At 36.6% G+C, this 24,418-nt stretch overlaps 1 long non-coding RNA gene and 1 pseudogene across 4 annotated transcripts in view; both read left to right on the top strand.

Moving 5' to 3' along the window:
• Positions 1-24,418, top strand: part of DIRC3 (disrupted in renal carcinoma 3) — a 506,425-nt gene that overhangs the window by 5,661 nt on the left and 476,346 nt on the right. For all 4 annotated transcript variants that reach the window (NR_186298.1, NR_186301.1, NR_186296.1 and 1 more), the window contains one exon: positions 2,162-2,277. This is a non-coding gene — a long non-coding RNA (disrupted in renal carcinoma 3). The remainder of the gene's footprint in view (positions 1-2,161; positions 2,278-24,418) is intronic.
• Positions 23,472-24,393, top strand: RPL7L1P9 (RPL7L1 pseudogene 9; annotated as a pseudogene).

The raw sequence follows: 24,418 nt of genomic DNA, 5'->3' as shown, positions 1-24,418 counted from the left end.
AGTAGAAGGTGAGAATGCAAAAAAAAATTCCTAAAAATGCACAAGACAGCCCCTCACATCAAGAATTATCTGACCCCAAAATGTCAAAAGTGATGAGGTTGATAAACTCTGACCTAAAGCATAGGGTGTTATGAGGAATTAAGTTAGAAGTACCTAATGCAGCCTTGTTGGGGGAAGGTTGTATGGAGTGGGAGTTCAACGAAGGCATCTGGAAAGAGATAATATCTGATTTAGGCTTTGAAGTGAAGATGAAGATTGCTACGTAGAGGAAGACGATTTTCAAAGTTGGACACATGGCAGACTATCCAGATAGTGTGAACAGAATGTGCCAAGGCGTGGAGAATGAGGGAGGGGCTATGGTCTGTCTGAATGAGACTGTATAGGACAGGAAATTAGGCTGTGGAGGTGGGCAGGGGCCAAGCATGAAAGGCGTTGCATACTTAACTATGGAATACGTTTTTATAAAGTATAAAACAAGCACAAAATGTGTTTAGAAAAGTGCATACGACACTAGTATATAGAAATGTAGAGTGCATTGAATTATCAATTATATGCGACTGTTTCCAGTTTTTGGCTATGATGAATCAGGGCTTATAAACAGTTTTGTACTTGTCTCTTGGCATTCATTTTTGTGAATTTTGCTTTGGGTATAATCCTAGTAAGGGAATGGCGGGGTCATGGGGCGTGCATATGTTCAATTTTAGTTGATATTGTCAAATAATTTCCCAAAGTTCTCGTAGGAATCTACAATCCTCCAATAGTGTAAGAGGATTCTCATTGTTCTATATCTTCACAACACTTAGTGTGGCCAGTTTAAAAAATTTATCTCTTCTGGAGTATGTGTAATGGCAGGGCTTTATTTTATTTTTATCATTTTATTTTTTTCAAAATAAGGTTTGTTGACATGTAATTTGCATACAGTAAAATTTCACCATTTTAAGTGTACAGTCTATAAATTTTTATTAGTATATACATTTGTTTAATAAAAATATATATTTTACCACCCCAAAGTTCCCTTATTCCTGTTTGTAGCCAATCCACTCCTGCCTCCTTTAGTAACTAGTAACTAGTGATATGTTTTCTGTCTTTATAGTTTTGCCTTTTCCAGAATGTCATGTGAATGAAATCATTAAGTATGTAGTATTTCCAGTTTGGCTTACTTTCACTTAGCAATATGTTTTTGAAATTAATCCACTTTGTTTCATGGATAATCAGATGGGTAATTTCAAAAGAGAGATGGAAACTACTAGAAAAATCAAATAAAAATGCTAGAAATAGAAAACACAGTAACAGAAATGAAGAATGCCTTTGATGGGCTTGTCAGTAGACTCAACATAGCTGAGAGAAGAATCAGTAAACTTGATGACAGTGTAGTAGAAATTATTCAAACTGAAACACAAAGGGCAATAAATTGTGAAAAAACAGAACAAAGCATCTAAGAACTGTAGGATAATATCAGTGGGCTAACATATGTGTAATTGGAATCCCAGAAGATGAGAGAGAGGGAAAGGGGAGGGGAGGGAAGAGAAAAGGAGGGAGAACTTGGACAAATTATAGTCAAGAATTTCCCCAAATTAGCAACAGATAGCACACCACAGGTTCCAGAAGCTCAGAGAACACCAAGTAGTAAAAAAACCAACCCCCTCCCCTAAAAGAAAAAATATGCTCAGCTTCTCAGTCCACCACTTCTGTCTCCCAGAATGGGCTGATGCATCTGGAGAAAATCAGATCCAAATGCCAGGCTCACCTCTTTGATCCCCTCCTGGATCTTGGTGTCCTCATTTTTCACTGTTTTGATAGCAACCTAAATATCTTCAAGTTGATGAAAAATGTTATATAGCTTTTCTTATTCTATTAAGCAGGAGAGCCAATTCAAATACTTAGTCTGCTGAAAGTACTGAAAATAAAAATCAAGGCAATCTTTTTTAGTTTTTTTTTTCTGGTTTTAGTTCATTGGGAATTACTGGTCTAATCTAACTAATAGGCTAAGACACATACATGATATGTCTTAGCTAAGATATATGTAATTTATATATAAAATTAGCTTTTGAACCCTTGTAGTAAAAGAAAATAATTTAGCTTCCTTATATTACTTTAACTCTTCCTCCTAATTTAAAGAATAAAAATATGAAAGTCTTTTTTTTTTTTTTTTTTGAGACAGGGTCTTGCTCTATCATCAAGACTGGAGTGCAGTAGTGTGATCATAGTTCACTGCAGCCTCAAACTCCTGGGCTCAAGCGATCCTCCCGACTCACAACCTCCTGGAATTTTTTGATGGTAAGAATAGTTGGCTATTTTTTTCATTTGAAATTTTGCATGTGGACCTCTATTTCTTGTTCATTCAACTCTATATACTCTTTCTTGATTTCTTTTGAAATTATGTATCAAAAACCAGGCATTGATTTTTCCTTTTACCTCTTTTTATCCCCTCCACCTGCATTCTTGAATTGGCTTTATTTTATTTTGTTTATTTATTTTGAGATAGACAATTGCTCTGTCACCCAGGCTGAAGTGCAGTGGCACAATCTCGGCTCACTGCAATCTCTGCCTCCCAGGTTCAAGCGATTCTTCTGCCTCAGCCTCCCAAGCAGCTGGGACTACAGGCACGTGCCACCATGCCTGGCTAATTTTTGTATTTTTAGTAGAGATGAGGTTTCATCATGTTGGCCAGGCTGGTCTCGAACTGCTGACCTCAAGTGATCCGGCTATCTTGGCCTCCCAAAGTGGTAGGATTACAGGCATGAGCACTGTGCCTGGCCTATTTATTTTTAAGTTAAACTTTTTATTTTGAGATATCGTAGATTCACATGTAGCTGCAATAAATAATACAGAGAAATCTCATGTATCCTTTACTCAGTTTTCCCCAGTGGTAGCATCTTGCAAAACTGTAGTACAATAACACAACCAGGATAATTACATTGATACAGCTGAGGTATAGAATAGTTCCATCACCACGAGTATCCTTTTTGTTGCTCTTTTATAACTTTGCCCACTTTTCTCCTACTTCTACACCCTCCTTAATCTATGGCCACTACTAATTTGTTCTCCATTTCTACAATTTTGTCATTTCAAGAACATTATATAACTGGAATCATACGGTAATCTTTCAGGATTGGTTGAATTGTGGTAGTTTGTGTTTTTCAAGGAATTGGCCCATTTGATGTAAGTTGTCAAATTTATATGTGTAGAGTTCATAGTATTTCCTTATTATCTTTTTGATGTCTGCAGAGTCTCTGATGATATTCCCTGTTTAATTTCTGATATTGATAATTCATGTCTTCTCTCTCTTTTTGTCAGTCCTGCTAGAATTTTGTCAATCGTATTGATCTTTTCAAATAATTTAATATTTATTTCATTGATTTTCTGTTTTTTGCTTCATTGATTTCTGCTGACATCTTTTTTTTAATTTTGATTATTTTGGGTTTATTTTGCTCTTTTTCTTCCTGGATTCTCAAGGTAGGTGCTTAGATTATTATCTGAGACTTTTCCTGTTTTCTAATGTATGTTTTTAGTGCTGTAAATTTTCCTCTCAGCAGTCTTTTAGTTGTTTCCACAAAATTTGACATTATATTTTCATTTTAATTTAGTTAAATATATATTTTAATTTCCCTTGATACTTTTTCTTTGACTCATGGGCTGTTTAGAAGAATGTTGTTTAGTTTTCAAGTGTTTGGACATTTTCCTGTTGTCTTTATGTTATTGATTTCTGGTTTGATTCCATCGTGGCTAGAAAATACACTCTGTATAATTTCAAGTCTTAAAAATCTATTGAAGTTTTTTTTTTTTTTTTTTAATGGTCCAGGATGTGGTCTACCTTGTTTTGTGAACATTTGAAAACAAAAGAGTATTTTGCTGTTGTTGCGTGCAGTGTTCCATAAATGTTGATTAGATCTTCTTGGTGAATATGCAGTTGCGTTATTCTATATTCTTGCTTATTTGCTGTCTAGTTTTTCTATTAATCGTTGAGAGAGGAGCATTAAAGTTTCCAACTATAATTGTGGACTTTTCTATTTATTTTTAATTCTATGAGTTTTTGCTTTACATATTTTGCAAGTCTGTTGTTTGGTGCTTGTACACTTAGGATTGCTAGGTCTTTTTGGTAGATTGACTTTTTTATCACTGTATAATGTCTCTTCCAGTTTCTGGTAATTTTCTTTGTTCTGGAGTCTGTTTTATATTATATAGCCACTACTTTTTCTGATTAATATTTATATGTATGATATATATGTTTTCATCCATTTACTTTCAATCTGACTGTATAATTATATTTGAAGTGAGTTTCTGGCAGCGTATAGTTGGGTCAGCATTTTTATTTCTCTTTGCCAATCTTCCTCTCTTAATTGGTGTATTTAGATCATTTACATTTTATTTATTTATTTTTTTGAGGTGGAGTCTCACTCTGTCACCAAGGCTGGGGTGCAATGGTGCAATCTCAGCTCACTGCAACCTCCGCCTCCTGGGTTGAAGTGATTCTCCTGCCTCAGCCTCCCAAGTAGTTGGGACTACAGGCACGTGCCACCACACCTGACTAATTTCTCGTATTTTTAGTAGAGACGGGGTTTCACCATGTTAGCCAGGATGGTCTCGATCTCCTGACCTCATAATCTGCCTGCCTCAGCCTCTCAAAGTGCTGGGATTACAGGCGTGAGCCTTCGTGCCCAGCCGACGGTTTACATTTATGTAATTATTGATATGTTAGGGCTTAAGTCTGTCATTTTAATTTTTGTTTTCTCTTTGTTTCTCTTCCTCTGTTTCTTTTTTCTGCCTTCCTGTGGGTTACTTAACATTTTTTAGAATTACATTTTTATTTCTCTACAGTGTTTTCGAGTGCACCTATTTGTATAGCTTTTTAAGTGATTGCCGTAGATATTATGTTATTGATGTGTGCCTTATAAAAGTATACTGGTGTCAACATTTTACCAGTCTGAGTGAAACGTAGAAACTTTTCCTCTCTTTATGTCCCTTTACCTTCCCACATTTAGAAGATAATTGTTTTAAATATTTCCTCCAGATACACTGAGAATTAAATTAGACAGCGGTATAATTTTTGCTTCAACTATGGAAAACTCAAGAGGAGAAGGAAGGTCTATTGTATTTAAGTATAATTTTTACTCCTGTTGTTTTTTCTTCCTTCTTGATGCTCCAAGAATTCTTTTATGATATCCGGTCTAGACAAGTTTCTTTAGCTATCCTTTCGGAGTAGATCTCCTGAGGCAAATTAGCTTTCCCCCAGCACCTTCATTCGGGAATGTCTTGGTTTCTTCTTCATTTCTGAATGATATTGTCATTAGGTACATGGTTTAGGGCTGTTAGTTCTTTTCTTTCAGCACTTGAAAAATATTGTGGCACTTCCTTCTGGTCTGTGTGGTTTCTAATGAGAAATCTGCTGTCACTCAAATAGTTTTACCCATGTAATATTTTTTGTTTGTTTTTAGCTTTCAGAAATTTGATTATGATGTGTCTTGGTGTAGAGTTTTTGGAGTTTATTACATTTGAAGTTTTCACAGCTTCTTGAATCTGTAGGTTTATGTTTTTGCTAAAAATTAGGAAGTTGTCAGCCATTATTTCTTTAAGTACTTTTTTGGCCTCACCCTCTTTCACCTCTTCTTTTGAACCTCTGATGACATAAATGTCGTGAATGTCAGATAGTTTATTATAGTCTCACAGGTCCCTGGAAGCTCTGTTAATTTTTTGTTTCTTTGAGACAGTGTCTCACTCTGTTGCCCAGGCTGGAGTGCAGTCGTGCAATTTCAGTTCACAGCAACCTCCGCCTCCCGGGTTCAAGTGACTCTGGTGCCTCAACCTCCCCAGTAGCTGGGATTACAGGTGCTCACCACCACACCCGACTAATTTTTGTATTTTTAGTAGAGACAGTGTTTCACCATGTTGACGAGGCTGGTCTCGAACCCCTGACCTCAAGTGATCTGCCTGCCTTGGCCTCCCAAAGTGCTGGGATTACAGGTGTGAGCCACTGTGCCCGGCCTTCATTTTTGTTTGCCGGGGGTGGGGTGGGGTGGGGAGGTCTATTTTCCCTCTATTATTCACACTGGGTAATTTTTATTATCCTATCTTCCAGTTCACTGATTTTTTTCCCCTCTGTCCCCTCTGTTCTGCTGCTGAGCCCATCTATTGAGTTTTAAAATGTTTGTTATTATATTTTTCAGTTCTAAAATTTCAATTTGTCTATTTCTCACATCTTCTATTTATTTACTGAGATGTTCTATTTTTTATATGTTCATAATTGCTCATTGAAGCATTTTTATAAAGGCTACTCTAAAACCTTTATCAGATAATTCTAACATCTTTTGGTGTTGGCATCTATGGATTATGTTTTTCATTCAGTTTGAGATTTTCCTGGTTTTTGGTATGATGAGTGATTTTTTAAATTGAAATCAAGACATTTTGGGTATTATGAGACTCTGGATCTTATTTAAATTGTATGTTTTAGCTGGCTTTTCCTGACATTGTCCCAGCAGAAGAAAGAGGGGTTGTCATTCAGTTATTGCCAGATAGGGCTAGAAATGCAGGGTTCCCATGCAGCTTCTGTTGACACCTAGGGGGGTGACTCCTCATTACCACTGGGTGGCATTGGGAATTCTTCCTCCCCACTGGGCCTCTGCACACACCTCCTGGGAGAGAAAGGGGTGCTTTATTACTGCTTCTCACAAGGCCTCCTCTGATACTGTGGGGGTGGAGCTTGTTAAGGTGGGGATGAAAGTTCCATCTCCCTATTTGTCCTTCTCTGACTAAACCCTAGGGGGGAGTAGTTTGGGGTGGTGAGGCTCCCCATTCAGTCCTTGCTGGTGTGTGGGAGAGTGGAGCCATAGATTTTTCTGTGGTGTGTGGCTACAGTAAAGCAGTTATCATCAAGGATTTTTTTTTGTCTTTCTAGACTGCCCATTTATTAATCATTTGGCTAAAGAAAGCAGAGGTTTGTTGGGACTTTTATTTGTGTCGACACCAGTTGGCGTTTCTGGTTGCTGGCTTCTTAAGCTCCAAGTCTGGGAATATGAGGCAAAAAGAAAATCCAGGGACGTCACCACTGTGTCATTCCTAGGGTCTAAAGTCCCTACTGGGTCTGCCCTCTTCTCACCTTTCGGAGTTTCTTATTTGGTGTGTGTATATATTCATTCCAGAGTTTTAGTCATAATTAATAGGGGAAATAGGGAAAAGTGCATCTGCTCTATTTTCTCAGAAGCAGAAAAGTCTAGCTTTATTTTTATTTTTAAAAACTTGCACATATATTTTGAAAAATAATTAAAGTGATACGAGCACATGCTGAATAAAAGTGCTGTAATGAAAGTCAAAAAGCTCTGAAGAACAGGTTACCTAATTTGCGGGTCCCAGTGCAAAATGAATAGGCAGGGCCCCTTGTGTAAAATGCCAGGAGAAAAAAATGCCATTAAAGATACTAAAATATAAAGCATTTTCCTTTCTTTCCTAGTTGTCATGGCATTTTAAAATTGGTATTCAATTTCATTCTAAGTACAAATAAAAAAATTATTTGTATGATAACATTCGTCTTTATATTGTGCAATGCCAGTTTTAAATGTAAATATAAGAATATTTAACTCACAAGTAAAATCACTTAAATTACACAATTATTTATAGCTCATACATTCAGTGGAAATGCTAACCCAAACAAATTCAACTGTTTTTATTTTATTTTATTTTATTTTATTTTTTATTTTTAACTGGTACAAAGTAATTGTACATATGAGGGGACTTCAAAAACTTCATGGAAAATGTGTATTATGAAAAAATGATGCATGAATTTCCAACTTTTTTGTACCAAAATGAACTCATACTAATTAGTTACAGCATGTCTAAACAGGATCTAGCTTGAGGCACTAAGAAGGATAAGGCCTCAGATTGACAAGAGCCCCTATCAGGGCAACATGAATTCTGCTACAATTAAAGCAAGAACAAACATATGTTTCTGGTGAAGCTTTGGTGAAAGAATGGTGAAGTCACTGATGCTTTACAAAAAGTTTATGGGGAAAATGCCCCAAAGAAATTGGCACTTTATAAATGGATAACTTGTTTTAAGAAGGGATAAGAAAATGTTGAAGATGAAGCCTGTAGAGGCAGACCATTCACATCAATTTGTGAGGAAAAAATTCATCTTGTTTGTGCCCTAATTGAAGAGGACTGATGATTAACAGCACAAACAATAGCCAACACCATTGCCATCTCAACTGGTTCAGCTTATGTAATTCTGACTAAAAAATTAAAGTCGAGCAAACTTTCTACTTGATGGGTGCCAAAACTTTTGTGCCCAGATTATCTGCAGATAAGAACACAACATTCAATGGAAATTTTAAACAAGTGGGATCATGATCCTGAAGCATTTCTTTGAAGACTTGTAACAGGAGATGAAACAGGGCTTTACCAGTATGATCCTGGTAGATGGCTTTACCAGTATGATCCTGAAGACAAAGCACAGTCAAAGCAATGGCTATCAAGAGGTGGAAGTGGTCCAGTCAAAGCGAAAGCAGACTGGTGGAGAGCAAAGGTAACGACAACAGGTTTTGGGAATGCTCAAGACATTTTGCTTGTTGACATTCTAGAGGGCCAAGGAGTGATAACATCTGCTTATTATGAGAATGTTTTGAGAAAGTTAGCCAAAGTTTTAGCAGAAAACCCCTGGGAAGGCTTCACTAGAGAGTTCTTCTCCACCGTGACATTTTTCTTATTACACAAGTGCAATTTTGCAAGTGTTTTGATGAGAAATCATTAGGCATCCACATTACAGTCCCGATTTGGCCCCTTCTGACTTCTTTTTGTTTCCTAATCTTAAAAATCTGTAGAGGGCATCCATTTTTCTCTGTTTAATAATGTAAAAAGACTGCATTGACATGGTTAAATTTCCAGGACCCTCAGTTCTTTAGAAATGTATTAAATGGCTGGTGTCATAGCTTACAAAAGTGTCTTGACTTTGGTAAAGTTTATGTGGAGAAATAAAGTGTATATTTTGATTCCATGTTTTCTCATAAGCTTTTTGGAGTCCCATTGTATTTATGGGGTACATGTGATATTTTGATACCTGCATACAGTGTGTAATGATTAAGTCGGGGTATTTAGGATATCCAACACCCCAAACATTTATTTCTTTTGTTGGGAACATTTCAAATCTTCTCTTCTAGCTGTTTTGAAATATGCAATAAATTATTATTAACTATAGTTAGCTGTCTGTGCCATCAAATTATAACCTATTTCTTCCATGTAATGATATGTTTGTACCCATTAAATAACATCTTTTCTTCTTCTACTCCCACCTTTCCCAGCCTCTGGTAACTATCATTCTACTTCCTACTTCCATGAGATCAATGTTTTAGCTTCCACATATCAGTAAGAACATGCAATATTTGTCTTTCTGTGTCTGGCTTTTTTCACTTAACATAATGACCTCCATTCTATCCACGTTGCTGAAAATGACACTATTTCATCATTTTTAATGACTGAATAGTATTCCATTGTGTATACAGACACCACATTTTCTTTATCTGTGCATCCTTTGAAGAATACTTAGGATGATTCCATATCTTGGCTCTTTGAATAGTGCTGCAATAAACATGGGGGTCCATGTATCCCTTTGATATACTGATTTCCTCTCTTTTGGTTAAATACCCAGTAGTGGGATTGCTGTTTTGTGTCACTGTTCTATTTTCAATTTTTTGAAAAACCTTCAAACTGTTTTCCATAATGGCTGTACTAATTTACATCCCCACCCACCAAAATGGATGAGTTCCATTTTCCCTGCATTCTTGCCAGCATTTGTTATTTCTTGTCTTTTTTGTAATAGCCATTCTAACTGGAGTGAGATGATACCTTATTGTGGTTTTGGTTTGCATTTTCCTAATGATAGTGGTGTTAGTTTAGTTCTTGATATGCACACATTCTACCAACGATGTCTATCTTAAGCTTACTAATGAGTAAGGAAGGACTAAAAGGAAAAAGAACAATGGATTTTCCTACTTCTCCCTTTCCTTCTATGCCATCATTTTTAGCCCAAATGGTTGGCTCACAAAGGAAAATAACATGAGTAAAAAAGAATATGATAGGATTCCTTGGTTGTTTGTGTCATTTGGAACACCATTTCCCTTTTTCTGAGTTCACAGCAGGTTCTGGTTCAAATAGAAAGCCTGGCCTACAAGGGCTATCAGTGCCCTGTTTGCCTAGTCATGGATGTTATACACTTACCTGCACTCCCTTTGATTCTCAAGTATTGTGCATCCACTGGATTATGTGCTCATGTGGCATTGCCAACAGCTCCATGTGCATAAAGCAGCAAGGATTAGCCAACAAGCTTATTTAGCATATCTGCTCACAAGCAGGCTCTATTGGTCCACTGGATTTCATTTAGACAACACAAGTTCAAAGGCAAAGTCATTAAGAATTTCACAACGTCGATAGCAGAACATTGAACTAGACATGGAGCCCTTTAAGTTCAGGGCCCTATGCAGCAGCACAGATCTCATGCCCACTAAGCTGATCTGGAGCTTCCTCATCCCAGGCGCATTATTCAGATGGAATTTTAACTTTCTATTTTAAAGTCTTGTTTGCTTGTGATTCTCTTTTCTATGATACATTTCTGTTCCTTAATGATCAGTTTTAGAGATTATCCAGCCATTTCCTGCTGTGACAGATGAGAATTAACTCACTTAAGCTCTTCCTTTCACCTACTGCTTTAGGAACTTTATATAAACATATTTTTATTTCTTGCACACAAATTATAAAAATATATCTTGAGTCCCCATTTTGTACATTTGAGGCTATTCAGGTTCATTTCCTTTACCTATTCTCTCCCTGTTCATATTCATGTTTTTTAATGTGTGCTTTTACTTAAACTGTATTCATTAGGCTATTAATAGGTGCTGAAACAAGTTTCAAACACAATAAAACTTTACTGATTGCTCACAAAACAGCACTGGCAAGCCATTCATTGATTTAGTCTGATGGAAGCTTTATGAATACAACCAAAAATCAATGCAGTTTCCATGGTAAGCATCTGCCTTTTGCCAAGCTGGAAAGGGCAAAGAGCATGGACCAGGGTACATGGGAGAGGTTTATGGACCAGGCCTGGAAGTGGCACTTGTCACTTCTCTCTCATTTCATTGGCTAGAACTGAGTTACATGGATACATTTTATTGCAAGGGAGTTTGGGAAATATAGTCCACTCAAGTGCCCAGGAAAAAGAGGAAAATAATTTTGGTTAAAAACTAGCAGTCTTTATCACTCTTATACTGTCAAATTAATAGCCTTTATATTCTCTTTGGTGATTTATTTATAGGTTGATTCTAAAAGCTGAAAATCAATATCCAGGTTCACATGAACAAAACTGCATGGTCCAGATTTTGGTACAGAGCAAAACCCACTCTAGCTAGTTTGAGAAGAAAGATGTTACGGTCCGAATGTGTCTTCCCAATATACCTAGGTTGCAATCTAATCCCCAGTGGGATGATACTAGGAGGAGAGGGCTTTGGGTGGTGTATTAGTCAGTTCTTGCACTGCTATAAAGAAATACCTGAAACTAGATAATTTATAATGAAAAGAGGCTTAATTGATTCAGTTCCACAGGCTGTACAGAAAGCATGGCTGGGGAGGCCTCAGGAAACTTACAAATGGTGGAAGGTGAAGGGGAGCAGGCATGTCTTATGTGGCTGGAGCAGGAGGAAGACAGCAAAGAGGGAGGTGCTACACACTTTTAAAAAAACAGATCTCATAAGAACTCACTCACTATCAAAGAGAATAGCAAGGGGGAAATCTGCCCCCATGATCCAATCAACTCCCACGAGGTTCCTCCTTCAACATTGGGGATTATAATTTGACATGAGATTTGGGTGGGAATACAACCCAAACCATATCAGGTGGTGACTAGGTCATGAGGGTAGAGCCCTCATTAATGGGTTTAGCACCCTTACAAAAAGAGGCCCCAGAGAGCTACCTTGCCCCTTTCACCATGTGAGGACACAGGAAGAAGGCACTGTCTGTGAACCAAGAAGTGGGCCCTCCCCATACACTGAATCTACTGGTGCCTTGATCTTGAACTTCCTAGCCTCCAGAGCTGTGAGAAATAAATTTCTGTTGTTATAAGCTACCCAGTCTATGGTATTTCATTATAGCACACCCAACTGACCAAGACAGAGGAATTTATTAAGTAGATTTCAACATTATCAGGAGGACTGAAAAAAGAGACTCTAGGTTGAGATTTTAGAAACCATTTCAGAAATAGTCCCTGTGACTCTTCCGCAGTCAGGGAGCTGCTATCTCAAAAATCACAATGCCAATCTGTGAATAGGGAGTTATTTTGACGAGGAAGTCATCATGGCTACTGTCTCTGGAATCATGCAGAGCTGCTCTGAAATGACCAGCAGGATGGGTGCTCCAATCCCTGCCTCAGCAGTCCTGAAGCTTGTGGCTAGATACTTGGACCTCTGTTAATGTTGCCACAGAAAAGCCAGCAATTCCACAGGATGCCAGCAGGAAACAGCACAAGCAGTAGAAACGTCACCTCCACCTTTGCCTCACGTTAGACTTCAAAAACCTTGAATGAATCTAGTTGGCAGCATATAAATTACATCTAAAACTCTAGCTACAATGGAATCTGGAAAATGTAGTTCTTAGTTTTCTAGGTTCTTCCATTCAGAAAAGCATACTAGAGAGAAGATGGGATGGAGACTGAGTGTCAACCCACCATAATGATTAAACTCCATTCCTTGGACTAACCATATTCTTTTATCCATGCTTAAACTGACAAACAACATTGATAACAACAAAAACATTTTCCCTTTTAATATAATACAATACTCTCTTATAGAGAAAAAACAAACTCACTATCTTCCCCAAAACAGATGAGACACCTGAAGTCCCATCAGTAATTACAACTATCACTTGGTGATGAGCCTTCCCTCTCTAGTTTCTATATAATTCCAACTGATATTTTGTAGCTCATGGATTACATTATAAAGTTATCCACCAAAACACATTCTATGAAAATGGTGGGGAAATGGAAAAAAAAAAAAACAAACAGAAAAGTAATTTTGTTTTGTTTTTTAAAAATAACGCAGGTTAAGAGTATAGGTGGCTGTTACATTCCTCATTTCTCTAACTGGTCACGAGATTGTAGTAATCATTTTGGTATTTATCTGGTGAAGTGACCAAAAACTTTATTCCTGAGGGTTTTGAATACTGTCTCTATTGGGTCACTGTATGTTCTATTCATTTTGCTAATAACTGAAGATGCTCCAAAGGATCCTTTGGGTTCTTGACACATTTTCCCCTGCTGCCACCCAAGATATAGCAACCTTAGTCCCCCTTTGCCTTTATCTGTTGATTAGTGGCATAAAAAGAAACAGGTTCCTAGTTCTTTGTTTAGTGGAACCATTTTTAGTTACCTAGGGGAAGAATTTCTCTTTTGGGCACTTATGTCTTGATGTCAGCTGAGCCCAGTGAATGGGAAAAAAAGTTTATAAGGGACCATTAGGTTTAATAGTGAGGGGCACCTCTCCTATTTCTCTCCCTTAGTTACTGAATACACACATTTTCGGCTATGAGAGCAAAAGAACCATATTATTAGTCTCCAGTTCTGAGTATATACTGCATGCTGCAAATGACACCCAACTCTCATAAGGTGTTGAGTGAGTCCAAATTGGAGCTGTGATTGAGCCTTCAACAGGTTTGTTCACTGTTCTATTACTCCACCTGCTTTGGGATGATGAGGTTCCATGATAAGACAAGTGTATGCTGTAGAAATAAGCCTATCATCCATTGCTTTAAAATTATTTTTCCTGGACAGAAACAATGTTGCAAGGGATTGGGAGGGTAATTCAAGTATTCGGAAAGTCCATAGATGCTGCTTTTAGTCAAACTACAACAGGCAGAGAAGACAAATGCATATTCCAGGAAATGTCTATTCCAGCAAGGGTAAATTGCTTCCTCCTCCATGATGGAAGGTGTCTAATAGGGTGGCTACATACTGTACTGGGCACTCAGTATTGGTCTCTGCAGCTGAGTACTCAGCAATAGTGGAAGCTGGATCAAGCTTAAAGGGAAATCCAAGCCCTTGTGTAACCTCCATCCCTGCTATTGTGGCCACGTTGTTAGTGAGCCCATTGAGCAAATACTGGGGTGTCTGGGTAAAGAGGTCAATGGAGATCCATTGAATAGGCCATCTTGTCTACCTGATTATTGGCCGCATTTGCACTTGGTAAGTGTGGTAGGCAGAATAATGGCCACCCCAAAGACGTCCATGTCCTAATCTTTGGAACCTGTGAATGTGTTAACTTACATGGCAAAGGAACTTTGCAGATGTGATTGAGTTAAGGACCCTGAGATGGGAAGATTATCACAAGAGTCCTTGTAAGAGGCAGGTAGGAGAGTAAGAGTCAGAGAAGGAGATGCAATGTTAGAAGCCAAGGTCAGAATGATGCAAATGCTGGCTTTGAAGATGGAAGAGAGCCATGAACCAAGGAATGCAGATAGCCTTTAGTAAGCTGAAAAAGGTAAGTGTATCAATTTTCTCCTAGAGCCTCCAGAAAGAAATGCAGCCCTGCTGGCACCTTGATTTTAACTCAGTGTGACCATTTAGACTCTGACTTCCAGAACTGTAAGAGAATACATTTGTGTTGTTTTAGGCTATTAAATTTGTGGTGGCAGCAATAGGAAGTGAATATAGTAATCATTGTCTTATTTCTGACTTTAACATCAATAGCTTCTGTAGTTCTCTATTCAAAACATTTTATCATGTCAAGGAAATATCCACACATTTCTATTTTATTTGCTTTTAAATTTAAATATCAAGAATGAGTGCAGAATCTGATCAAATGCTCCCCCAGAATGTATGGAGATAATCACGTTTTATTGTTTCTTAACATAATAAACTGTATTAATGGATTTTAAGGAGTTATCCTGGTATTCCTAGAATAATCCCACTTGATCCCATTTTTAATTTTTTGTGCTGAAATTTAAAAATATCATCTTTGAGGTGTAAATAACACCCAATAAGTTGAATTCACTTAAAGGGCACACTATTTTGTCAGTTGTATATAGCCACGAAACTACGACCATAATCAAGAGGCAAAACTTTTCCATCCGCCCCAAAAGATTCCTTATGTCCCATTACAGTACACCCTTCCCTCTACTCCGAGTCCCAGGTAACCACTGATTCTATTCCTTTACATGCTTCATTTTTTAAAGATTTTATATAAATGGAGTAATACTAGATATATGTCTGTGTGTATGTCTATCTATCCATCCATCCATCCATCCATATATACATTTCTGCCTTCTTTTCCTCTGCCTGATTTTGAGATTCTTCCATGCTTTTGTGTTTATCAGTAGTTTGTTCTGTTTTCTTGCTGAGTAGTATTCCTTTGTATAAATATACTATATTTTTTGCTTATTCATTCAGTTAAATGATGGATATTTAAGTTGGTTCCAGTGTTTTGGCTATTAAGAATAAAACTTCTGTGAACGTTTACATACAGAGCTTATTGTGGACAAATGCGTGGATTTCTCATGGGTAAATACCTAGAAATGGGCTGGTGGGGTCATATGGTAGGTGTATGTTAAAATTTTAGTGAAAGGTAAAAGATTTATGCAATCTGAAGAAAAACCAGAGTATGCTGTTTAACTTAAAAAAAAAATCCTGTCACTTCTTGGAAGTGGTTGTATCATTTCTCATTTCCACCAACAATGCATGAAGGTTCCAGTTGCTCCATATCCTCACTAACATTTGGTATTGTCAGTCTTTTTAATTTTAAACATTCTGCTGAGTGTGTTAAGAATCTTATCACAAGCTTTGGGTTTTTCTGCCTATCTTACTTTTATTTGTTTCTAATTTAATTTGGTTGTGGTTAGAGAAATATTCTGTATGATTTTAATTCTTTTAAATTTATTGAGACTTGTTTTGTGCCCAGACTATGGTAAATCTCAGCAAACACATAGTGCACACTTGAAATAAATGTGTATTCTGCAGTTGTTAGGTAGTGTTTTGTAACTATTAGTTAGGTCAACATGGCGAATATTATTATTCAGATTCCTGAATAATACCATTATTTTTATAGATCTTTACTGATGTTTCTGTCTAGTTGCTCTATCGCTTGCTGAGAGAGAGGTGTTAAAAACCTATTGTGATTATGGAATTTTCTATTTCTCCTTTTAATCCTGTCAATTTTCGTTTCATGTATTTTGAGGCTCTGTTGATAGATCTATACTCATTTACGGTTATTAAGTCTCATTGATAAATTGATCCTTTTGTCACTATAAAATTTCCCTCTTCATTTTTTGGTACTATTCTATCTTGAATTCTATTTTATCAGATATTTATATACCTAATCTAGCTCTCTTATGGTTTGCATAATATATCTTTTTGCATTCATTTAATTTGAACTTATTCCTATCTTTATATTTAAAGTGTGTTGGGTTATGTTTTTTATTGTTTATTTTTAAATGCATTTCTCTAACCTCTGTGTTTCCATTTGGATGTTGAGACCGTTAATAATTAATATAATTATTGATATGCTTAAACTTAGGTCTGCCATTTTGTTATTTGTTTTATGTTTGTGTCACTTATTTTTTGTTTCTCTTTTCCTGTTTTTCTGCTTTCTTCTGGATTGCTCAAGCATTTTTAAATTCATTTTATGTATTTATTAGTTTTTAATCTATACCTCTTTGTTTTTTTAAATTTTATTTTTGTCATTGTTCTAAGCATTACAACATATCCTTAACTTTTCTCAGTCTATTTAAGATTGCTATTGTACCACTTTACATAAAATATAGGCACCTTGTGACCATATAGATTAATTTATAACCTCACCTGCATTTATGTTACAGTTGTATTATATACATTATAAACTGGACAAGAGAATTTCACAATTTTTCCTTATTCATGTTTATTTGAAAGAAGTTATTAGAAAAATAGACTTTTATATTTACTCAGATTTATTCAGATATTCACTATTTCTGTTGGTCTCCATTCATTCCTAAAGATCTGGGTTTGCCTCTGTTATCATCTCTCATAAGCCAGAATTAATGGCTAGAACAAATTCATTTGCTTTTCTTTTATCTGCAAATGTATTTTGCTCTTACTTTTCAAGTTTAACTAGATATAAAATTCCATGTTGATAGTTTTCTTATTTCAGCACTTTAATGATGTTGTTCTCCAGTCTTCTGACCCCTGTGACATCTGAGGAGAAGTCTATGGTCATTTAAACTGTTGTTGTCCAAATAAAAATGTAACTTTTCATTTTTGTCTGGCTGCTTTCAAGATTCTCTCTTTTTCCTTGGGTCCAGTGGGTTGACCATGATGTAACCAATGAAGTTTTTATTTAAATATTTCCTGTTTGATATTTGCTGAGCTTCTTAATTTTTCACATTCCCATCTTTTATCAAACGTAGAGAGTTTCCAGACCTTTCCCTTTAAATGTTTTTTCTGCTCCATTCTCTTCCTCCTCTACTTTTGAAGTTATTCCACATGTCCTTGAGGTGCTCTTTTCCCCTTTTCTTCAGATTGGTTGATTTCCTTAAGTTCATTGATTCTTTCCTCTGTCATCTCCATTTTGCAAATAGGCCCATCCAGTGAATTTTATTTTAGATATTAAATTTTTCAGATAAAATCTCTTTTTGGTTATTTTATTTTTTTATTTCTCTGCTGAGATTTCTGATCTTTTCATTTATTTTGAGAAGGTTCCATTTACCCCATTGAGCATAGGTGACTGCTTTTAAAGTCTTTATCTGATCATTCCAACACCTGGTTCTTCTCAGGACTGAATCCCAGTTGGTTGCTTTTTCCCTTGAGAATGGTTCACACTTTTCTGGTTCTTTGTATGTCAATTATTTTGAATTGTATTCCAGACATTTTGAATGTTATGTTGTGGAGGCTCTGGAGTTTGTTATATTGTTCCAAATAGTGTTGATGTGTTGTTTTATGAAGCAATTAACTTGGGAGAGTCATACTTCAAAGTCTCTCTTGCCTGTAGTGTGTGGCAATTCAGACCTCAGTTCAGACTGCCTCCAGTCTGCCCTGTGCATACGTGTTTCAGGGGAGCCAGACTGGGCAGAGTTTATACACAGATTTTGGGATTCTTCCTCTTTGGTTTTCTCTTTTCTAGGGTATCCTCTCTCTTTGGCAGCTCTGGTTTCCCCAGTATCCTTTCTTTAGTTCCTTCAGGAAGAATGATGATATGCTTTTCTATGGGAGTTTCTGTTGCCAAGTACAACCACGACAGCTGCTGCTACTCACAGAGTCAAGTCACAAAACATGAAATTCACCCCACATCTGCCACTGCCTCCTCTCATTGATCGCTTTTCAATGACAGGGTAGTTGGCTTATTTTTTACTTTTAAATTTTTTCCCCAGAGATTGTAGTTGTCATTTACGGAAAGGTTGATTTGTTAGGTGTTTTACTCCTTCATATCAGAGGTAGAAATAGTGATGTTTTATTCTTAATGTGCTCATGATTTTTGCTAATTTTTCATTTCATATTTTGACATATATCTCCCTAAATGAGATTGATACAGAATTTTCTTTTGTGTGTGTTTGTGTGTGTGTTCACGTGCAGTCCTTGTCAAGTTATTTTTTTCTTTCTTTTTTTTTTTTTTCTTTTGCGACAGTTTTACTCTGTTTCCCAGGCTGGAGTGCAGTGGTATGATCACAGCTCACTGCAGCCTCAATCTCCCTGGGCTCAGTTAATCCTCCCATCTCAGCCTCCTGAGTAGCTGGGACTACAGGCGTGCATCACCATGCATGGCTAATTTTTCTATTTTTTGTAGAGATGGGGTTTCGCCATGTTGCCCAGGCTGGTCTAGAACTCCTAGGCTCAAGCGATCTGCCTGCCCTGGCCTCCCAAAGTGTTGGGATGACAGGCATGAGCCACCATGCCTGGACTCTTTCTCAAGTTTTGTTGTCAATATTATACAAACATCATAAAAAGAATTTGAAGGTTTTCCTTCTCTTTCCAATGCTCTGGAATAGTTTAAATAAACAGTATTAGAATCATCTGCTCTTTAAAACTTGGATATAATGTCTCTGTAACACTATGTAGGCTGTGAATTTTTACAGGGGAACTATTTTACTACTTCATTTCCTTTCTGAAAATTTGTTTATTTTGACTTTCACTTCTGAGGTTAATTGTAATAACTTATGAATTTTTAAAAAAATATTCATTTCTTCTAGGTTTGAAATCTGCTTGAGTTTTCAAATAACTCCTTATATTAATAGTTGTTTATGAGTTTTTTTCATGTTGATTTGAGTTCTCTGCAGAATCTAGACATTAATCCTTTATCAGAGGTATAGTTTGCAAATATTTTCTCCCATTCTTTAGGTTGTCTGTTTATTCTGTTGATTATTTCTTTTGCTGTGCAAAAGCTTTTTAGTTTAATTAGGTTCCATTTATTTATTTTTGTTTTTGTTGCATTTGCTCTTGGGATCTTTGTCATAAATTCTTTACCTAGGCCAATGTCCATAAGAGTTTTTCGTAGGGTTTCTGCTATAATTTTTATGTTTTCAAGTCTTAGATTTAAGTCTTTAATCCATCTTGAGATAATTTTTGTATGTGGTGAGAGATGGGGATCCAGTTTCACACTTCTATATGTGGCTATACAATTTTCCCAGGACTATTGAATAGAGTGTCCTTTCCTTAGTGTATGTTTTTGTCTTTGCTGAAGATCAAATAATTCCATTCAAAATGGGCAAATGACATGAACATACTTTTCTCAAAAGAAGATATACAAATGGCCAAGAAACGTGAAAAAATGCTCAACGTCACTAATCATTGGTGAAATGCAAATTAAAACCACAATGAGATACCATCTTACCCCAGCCATAATGTTTATTTTTAAAAAGTTAAAACTCGATAGATTTTGGTGTGGATGTGGTGAAAAGGGAACACTTACACACTGCTGGTGGGAATGTAAATTACTACAACCATTATGGAAAACAGTATGGTGATTTCTCAAATAACTAAAACTAGATCTACCATTCGATCCATTCCCGCTGGTGTAAATGCCTACATAACATAGCTGAATTTCTACCTGTCCTAACTCTGCTTATCTTTAAGAAACAGGACACCCGTGATAAAAAAGTTCCCTTTGTAACCACACCAGCTGAGATGGTTAGAACCAAGATAGACGACCAGTAACTTCAAAAATACCTCAGGCTTTATTATAATCACATTTCCATGCTAAACAATACTCCTACCAGGGCCATGATGGTTGACAGTCACCATGACAATAACCAGAAGAAGCCATAAAAGGGCAAAAACAAAGGCGGCATTCCACCTTTATGCTTTTTTTTTTTTTTTGACATGGAGTCTCCCTCTGTTGCCCAGGCTGGACTGCAGTGGCACGATCTGTATATATATCTGAAGTGTATATATATACATACACACACATACACCTCCACACCCCACCACACACACACCATGGAATACTATTCAGCCATAAAGAATGAAATAATGTCTTTTGCAGCAACTTGGATGGAATTGAAGGCCGTCATCCTAAGTGAAATAACTCAGGAACTGAAAAGCAAATACTGCATATTCTCACTTGTAAGTGGGAGCTAAGCTATGGGTACCCAATGGCATATAGAGTGGTATAATGGACATTGGAGACTCAGAAGTGGGGAGGTTGGGAGGGGGTAAGGGATGAAGAATTACCTATTGAGTACAATGTACACTCTTTGAGTGACGAGTACACCAGAAGCTCAGACTTTACCACTATATGATTCATCCATGTGACCAAAACCCACTTGTACCCCTAAAGCTATTGAAATTTAAAAAAAATTGTTTATGAAGTTCTTTCACGTTTGTCATTTTCTGGACCTGCACATGGTTTGTGTGAGTTTGAGTGTGTGTGTGTGTGTGTGTGTGTGTGTGTGTGTGTGTGTATGGGAAGAATTTTAACTCAAATTCAACTAGCTTAATAAGTATAGGGTTATCAGTATAAATATTATTTATTTCTTCATGAGTGAGACTTGGTAGCTCATGTCTTTCAAATAATTTGTCCATTCTATCTATGTTGTTCAATTTATTGGCCTAAAATTGTCCACAGTATCCCCTTTTTTCCTCATAGTATCTTTAGAAGCCATAGTCATGCCACTTTTCTCATTCCTGATATTGGTAATTTGTGTCCTCTGTTTCTTTTTTCTCTATTAGTCTGGCTAGAAATTTGTCAATTTTGCTGATATTATCAAAGAGCCAGCTTTTGGTTTCATAATTTTCTCTATTATTTTTCTGATTTCTATTTCATTGAATTCCACTTGATTCTTTGTTATTTTCTTTATTCCTGTTACATTGGGTTGAATTTAATCTTCTTTTCTAGTTTCTTAAGGTGGAAGATGAGGCCATTGACTTGAGACTTGTCCTCTTTACTAATATAGGCATTTAGTGCCATATATTTCTCCTTAATTTATGCTTCAGTAACATTCTACAGATTTTGCTCTGTTGTGTTTTCATTTTCATTCAGTGAAAAATGCTTTACAATTTCTTTTGATTTATTTCTTGACATATGGATTATTTAGACTTACAGTATTCAGTTTCTAAATAGAGATTTTCTAGTTATTTTTCTATTTTTGATTCGAATCTGATTCTATTGTGGTCAGATAAAAAACTTGGTATTTCTCGAATACTATTAAATTTATTGAGATTTTATAAGGTCTCATAAAAATAAAGCCTCATAAAAAATTTGGTCTATCTTGGTAAATTTTCTGTGCGTAAGTCGTTCCATTAGTGAGATAAATAACAATGATGTCCCACCTCAAGTGGTATAGCTCACTTTTGTGATATTTCTGCCAGTGATGCAAAAACTAAAATACACCATGGAGAAACTTAAGACAAATCTATATTGAGGGATGTATTATGAAATAACTGTCCTATAATCTTCAAAAAACTCATGATCATGAAATGCAAAGAAAGAAAGAAATTGTTATGGACTAAAGGAGACTAAAGAGACATGACATCTAAATCCATCATGAGTTTCTGGACTATAATATTTTACAGTAAAGAACATTATTAAGACAACTAAACATGAATGAGATCTGAAGATGAGATGATAGTAATATAGTAGCATTAATTTCCTGACCTTGATGATCTCATTAGGTTATATTGGAGAATATCCTTGTTGTAGGCAATACATACATACAAAAGTATTCAGTGGGCAAGGGCATCTTGTTGGAAATTGCCTCTCAAATAATTTAGAGAAAAAAGATTTTGCTTCACTTGGGCAACTTTCTTGAAAATTTGAGGTTTTTTCCAAAATAAAAAAAATGCAGATGAAGAAACAGGAAAACCTCAATTAGAAACAAGTCCATAGACAACCTAGGGCAGGGGTTCTCAACCCCAGGACTGCAGACTGGTACCAGCCCATGGCCTGTTAGGAACTGAGCTGCACAGCAGGAGATGAGCAGCAGGTGAGTGTACTGCCTGAGCTCCGCCTCCTGTCAGATCAGTGGCAGCATTAGATTCTCACAGGAGTGTAAACCCTATTGTGAACTGCACATGCGAGGGGTGTAGGTTGCATGCTCCTTATGAGAATCTAACTAATACCTGATGATCTAAAGTGAAACAGTTTCATCCTGAAACCATCCCCCACCCTTGTCCATGGAAAAATTATCTTCCATGAAACCAGTCCCTGCTGCCAAAAAGGTTGAGGACTGCTGACCTAGGGATTCAGATTTGCAAATAAGGATTTAAAAAACTTTAATAATGGCTCTTCCCACCAATTTTCCAAAAGTGGTCAAAATCAGTAAGTCACACATATAGAAAGCTCAGTGAATCTCAATCAAGATAAATACAGGGAACATCACACCCAGGCATTTTGATAGTCCAACTTCTGAAAGTTAAAACTGGGAAAAAAAGTTCTTAAACGTAACCAAATAAAAATGCACATTATATACAGGAAAACAATGATAAGAATTACAGCTGACTTCTCATCACAAAAATTGAAAGCCAGAAGACAATGGAATAACATCTTTAAATTGCAGAAAGAAATATATTATCAATGTTGGATTAAATATTCAGTGAAGATAGCTTTCAGAAATGAAGACAAATAAAGGCATATTAAGTTAAACATAAAAGCAGAGAGGATTTTCCAACAGCATACTTGTACTACATTAAATGCTAAAGGAAGTTCTTTAAGCTGAAGAGAGATGCTACTAGAGAGAATCTGGATCTACAGGAAGGATTGAAGAATATGGCACATGGGAAACGTGAATAAATATAACACTATGTTTTTATTTTCTTAAATTATTCAAAAGTTAACATTTTCATTTAAAAATAATATCATATTGTGGAGTTCATAATTCATGCAGAAATATGTATATGGCAATAATAACACAAAAGATGGATTGCGGGTAAATGAGATTATACTATTTTAAGAATCTCAAATTGTGTGTATGGTATATTATTTCAAGATAAAGTCTGATAAGAACACCTATTGTAACCTGTAAAGCAATTACTAAAATAAAAAGTGCAGGTAGTTGCAACACTAGAAAGATGGTGGAGCAAGAGGAAAGACAAATCCCTTTGGTTCCAGAAAATCTCCTGAAAAAGAGGAAGGCTTATCAAGCCCTCAAAGCCACCCAGGCAAAGCAGGCACTTTTGGCAAAGAAGGAGCAGAGGAAAGGAAAAGGGCTCAGGTTTAAGTGACTGGAATCATTTCTACATGATTCCTGGAGGCAGAAACGTGACAAGGTGTGTCTCAGATGACTAGAAGTAATCCTTGTGCCTTGGAATCACCAGATAAACATTCCTTGGCCTTTGTTGAATGCATTGAAGGATTGATGGCATGTTTACTGGTGCAGAGAACCACTGCAAGACTTCGCCTAAAGAAAATTTTTAGTGGTGTCTTTGTAAAAGTCACCCCCCAGAACCTAAAAATGCTGCGTATAGTGGAACCTTATGTGACTTGGGGATTTCCAAGTCTGAAATCTGTCTGGGAACTCATTTTGAAACGTGGACAAGCCAAGGTCAAGAATAAGACCATCCCTCTGACAGACAACACACTAATTGAGGAGCACCTAGGGAAGTTTGAAGTTTGGTGTCATTTGCTTGGAAGACCTCATTCATGAAATTGGCTTCCCAGGGTAGCATTTCCAGGAGATCTCATGGTTCTTGGACCCTTTCCACTTTCTCAGTGGCCTGTCACGCTACCAAAAATAGAGTGGGCTTCCTCAAGGAGATAGGCACACCTGGCTATCGGGGTGAACGCATCAATCAGCTCATCCGCCAGCTGAACTAGACCCAGGTGCCAAACTGCAGTCAATTTTTATCAGTGAAGTGGAAGCATGTGTTTTTGTTTTTTGGGGGGGAATTTTTATCAAGTATCTTCAGAGAAGATTATTTCCGGCTTTATCTTCAAAAACTGGAAAGGAAGGGTCAAAGAAAAGACAGTAGCTTATGTTCATGGCAAGCACCTCTCAT

Source organism: Homo sapiens, chromosome 2 (assembly GCF_000001405.40).
Source record: "Homo sapiens chromosome 2, GRCh38.p14 Primary Assembly".
Taxonomy (NCBI): domain Eukaryota; kingdom Metazoa; phylum Chordata; class Mammalia; order Primates; family Hominidae; genus Homo; species Homo sapiens.
The sequence above is the reverse complement of the archived record's forward strand: the minus strand, read 5'-3'. Positions and strand labels throughout refer to the sequence as shown.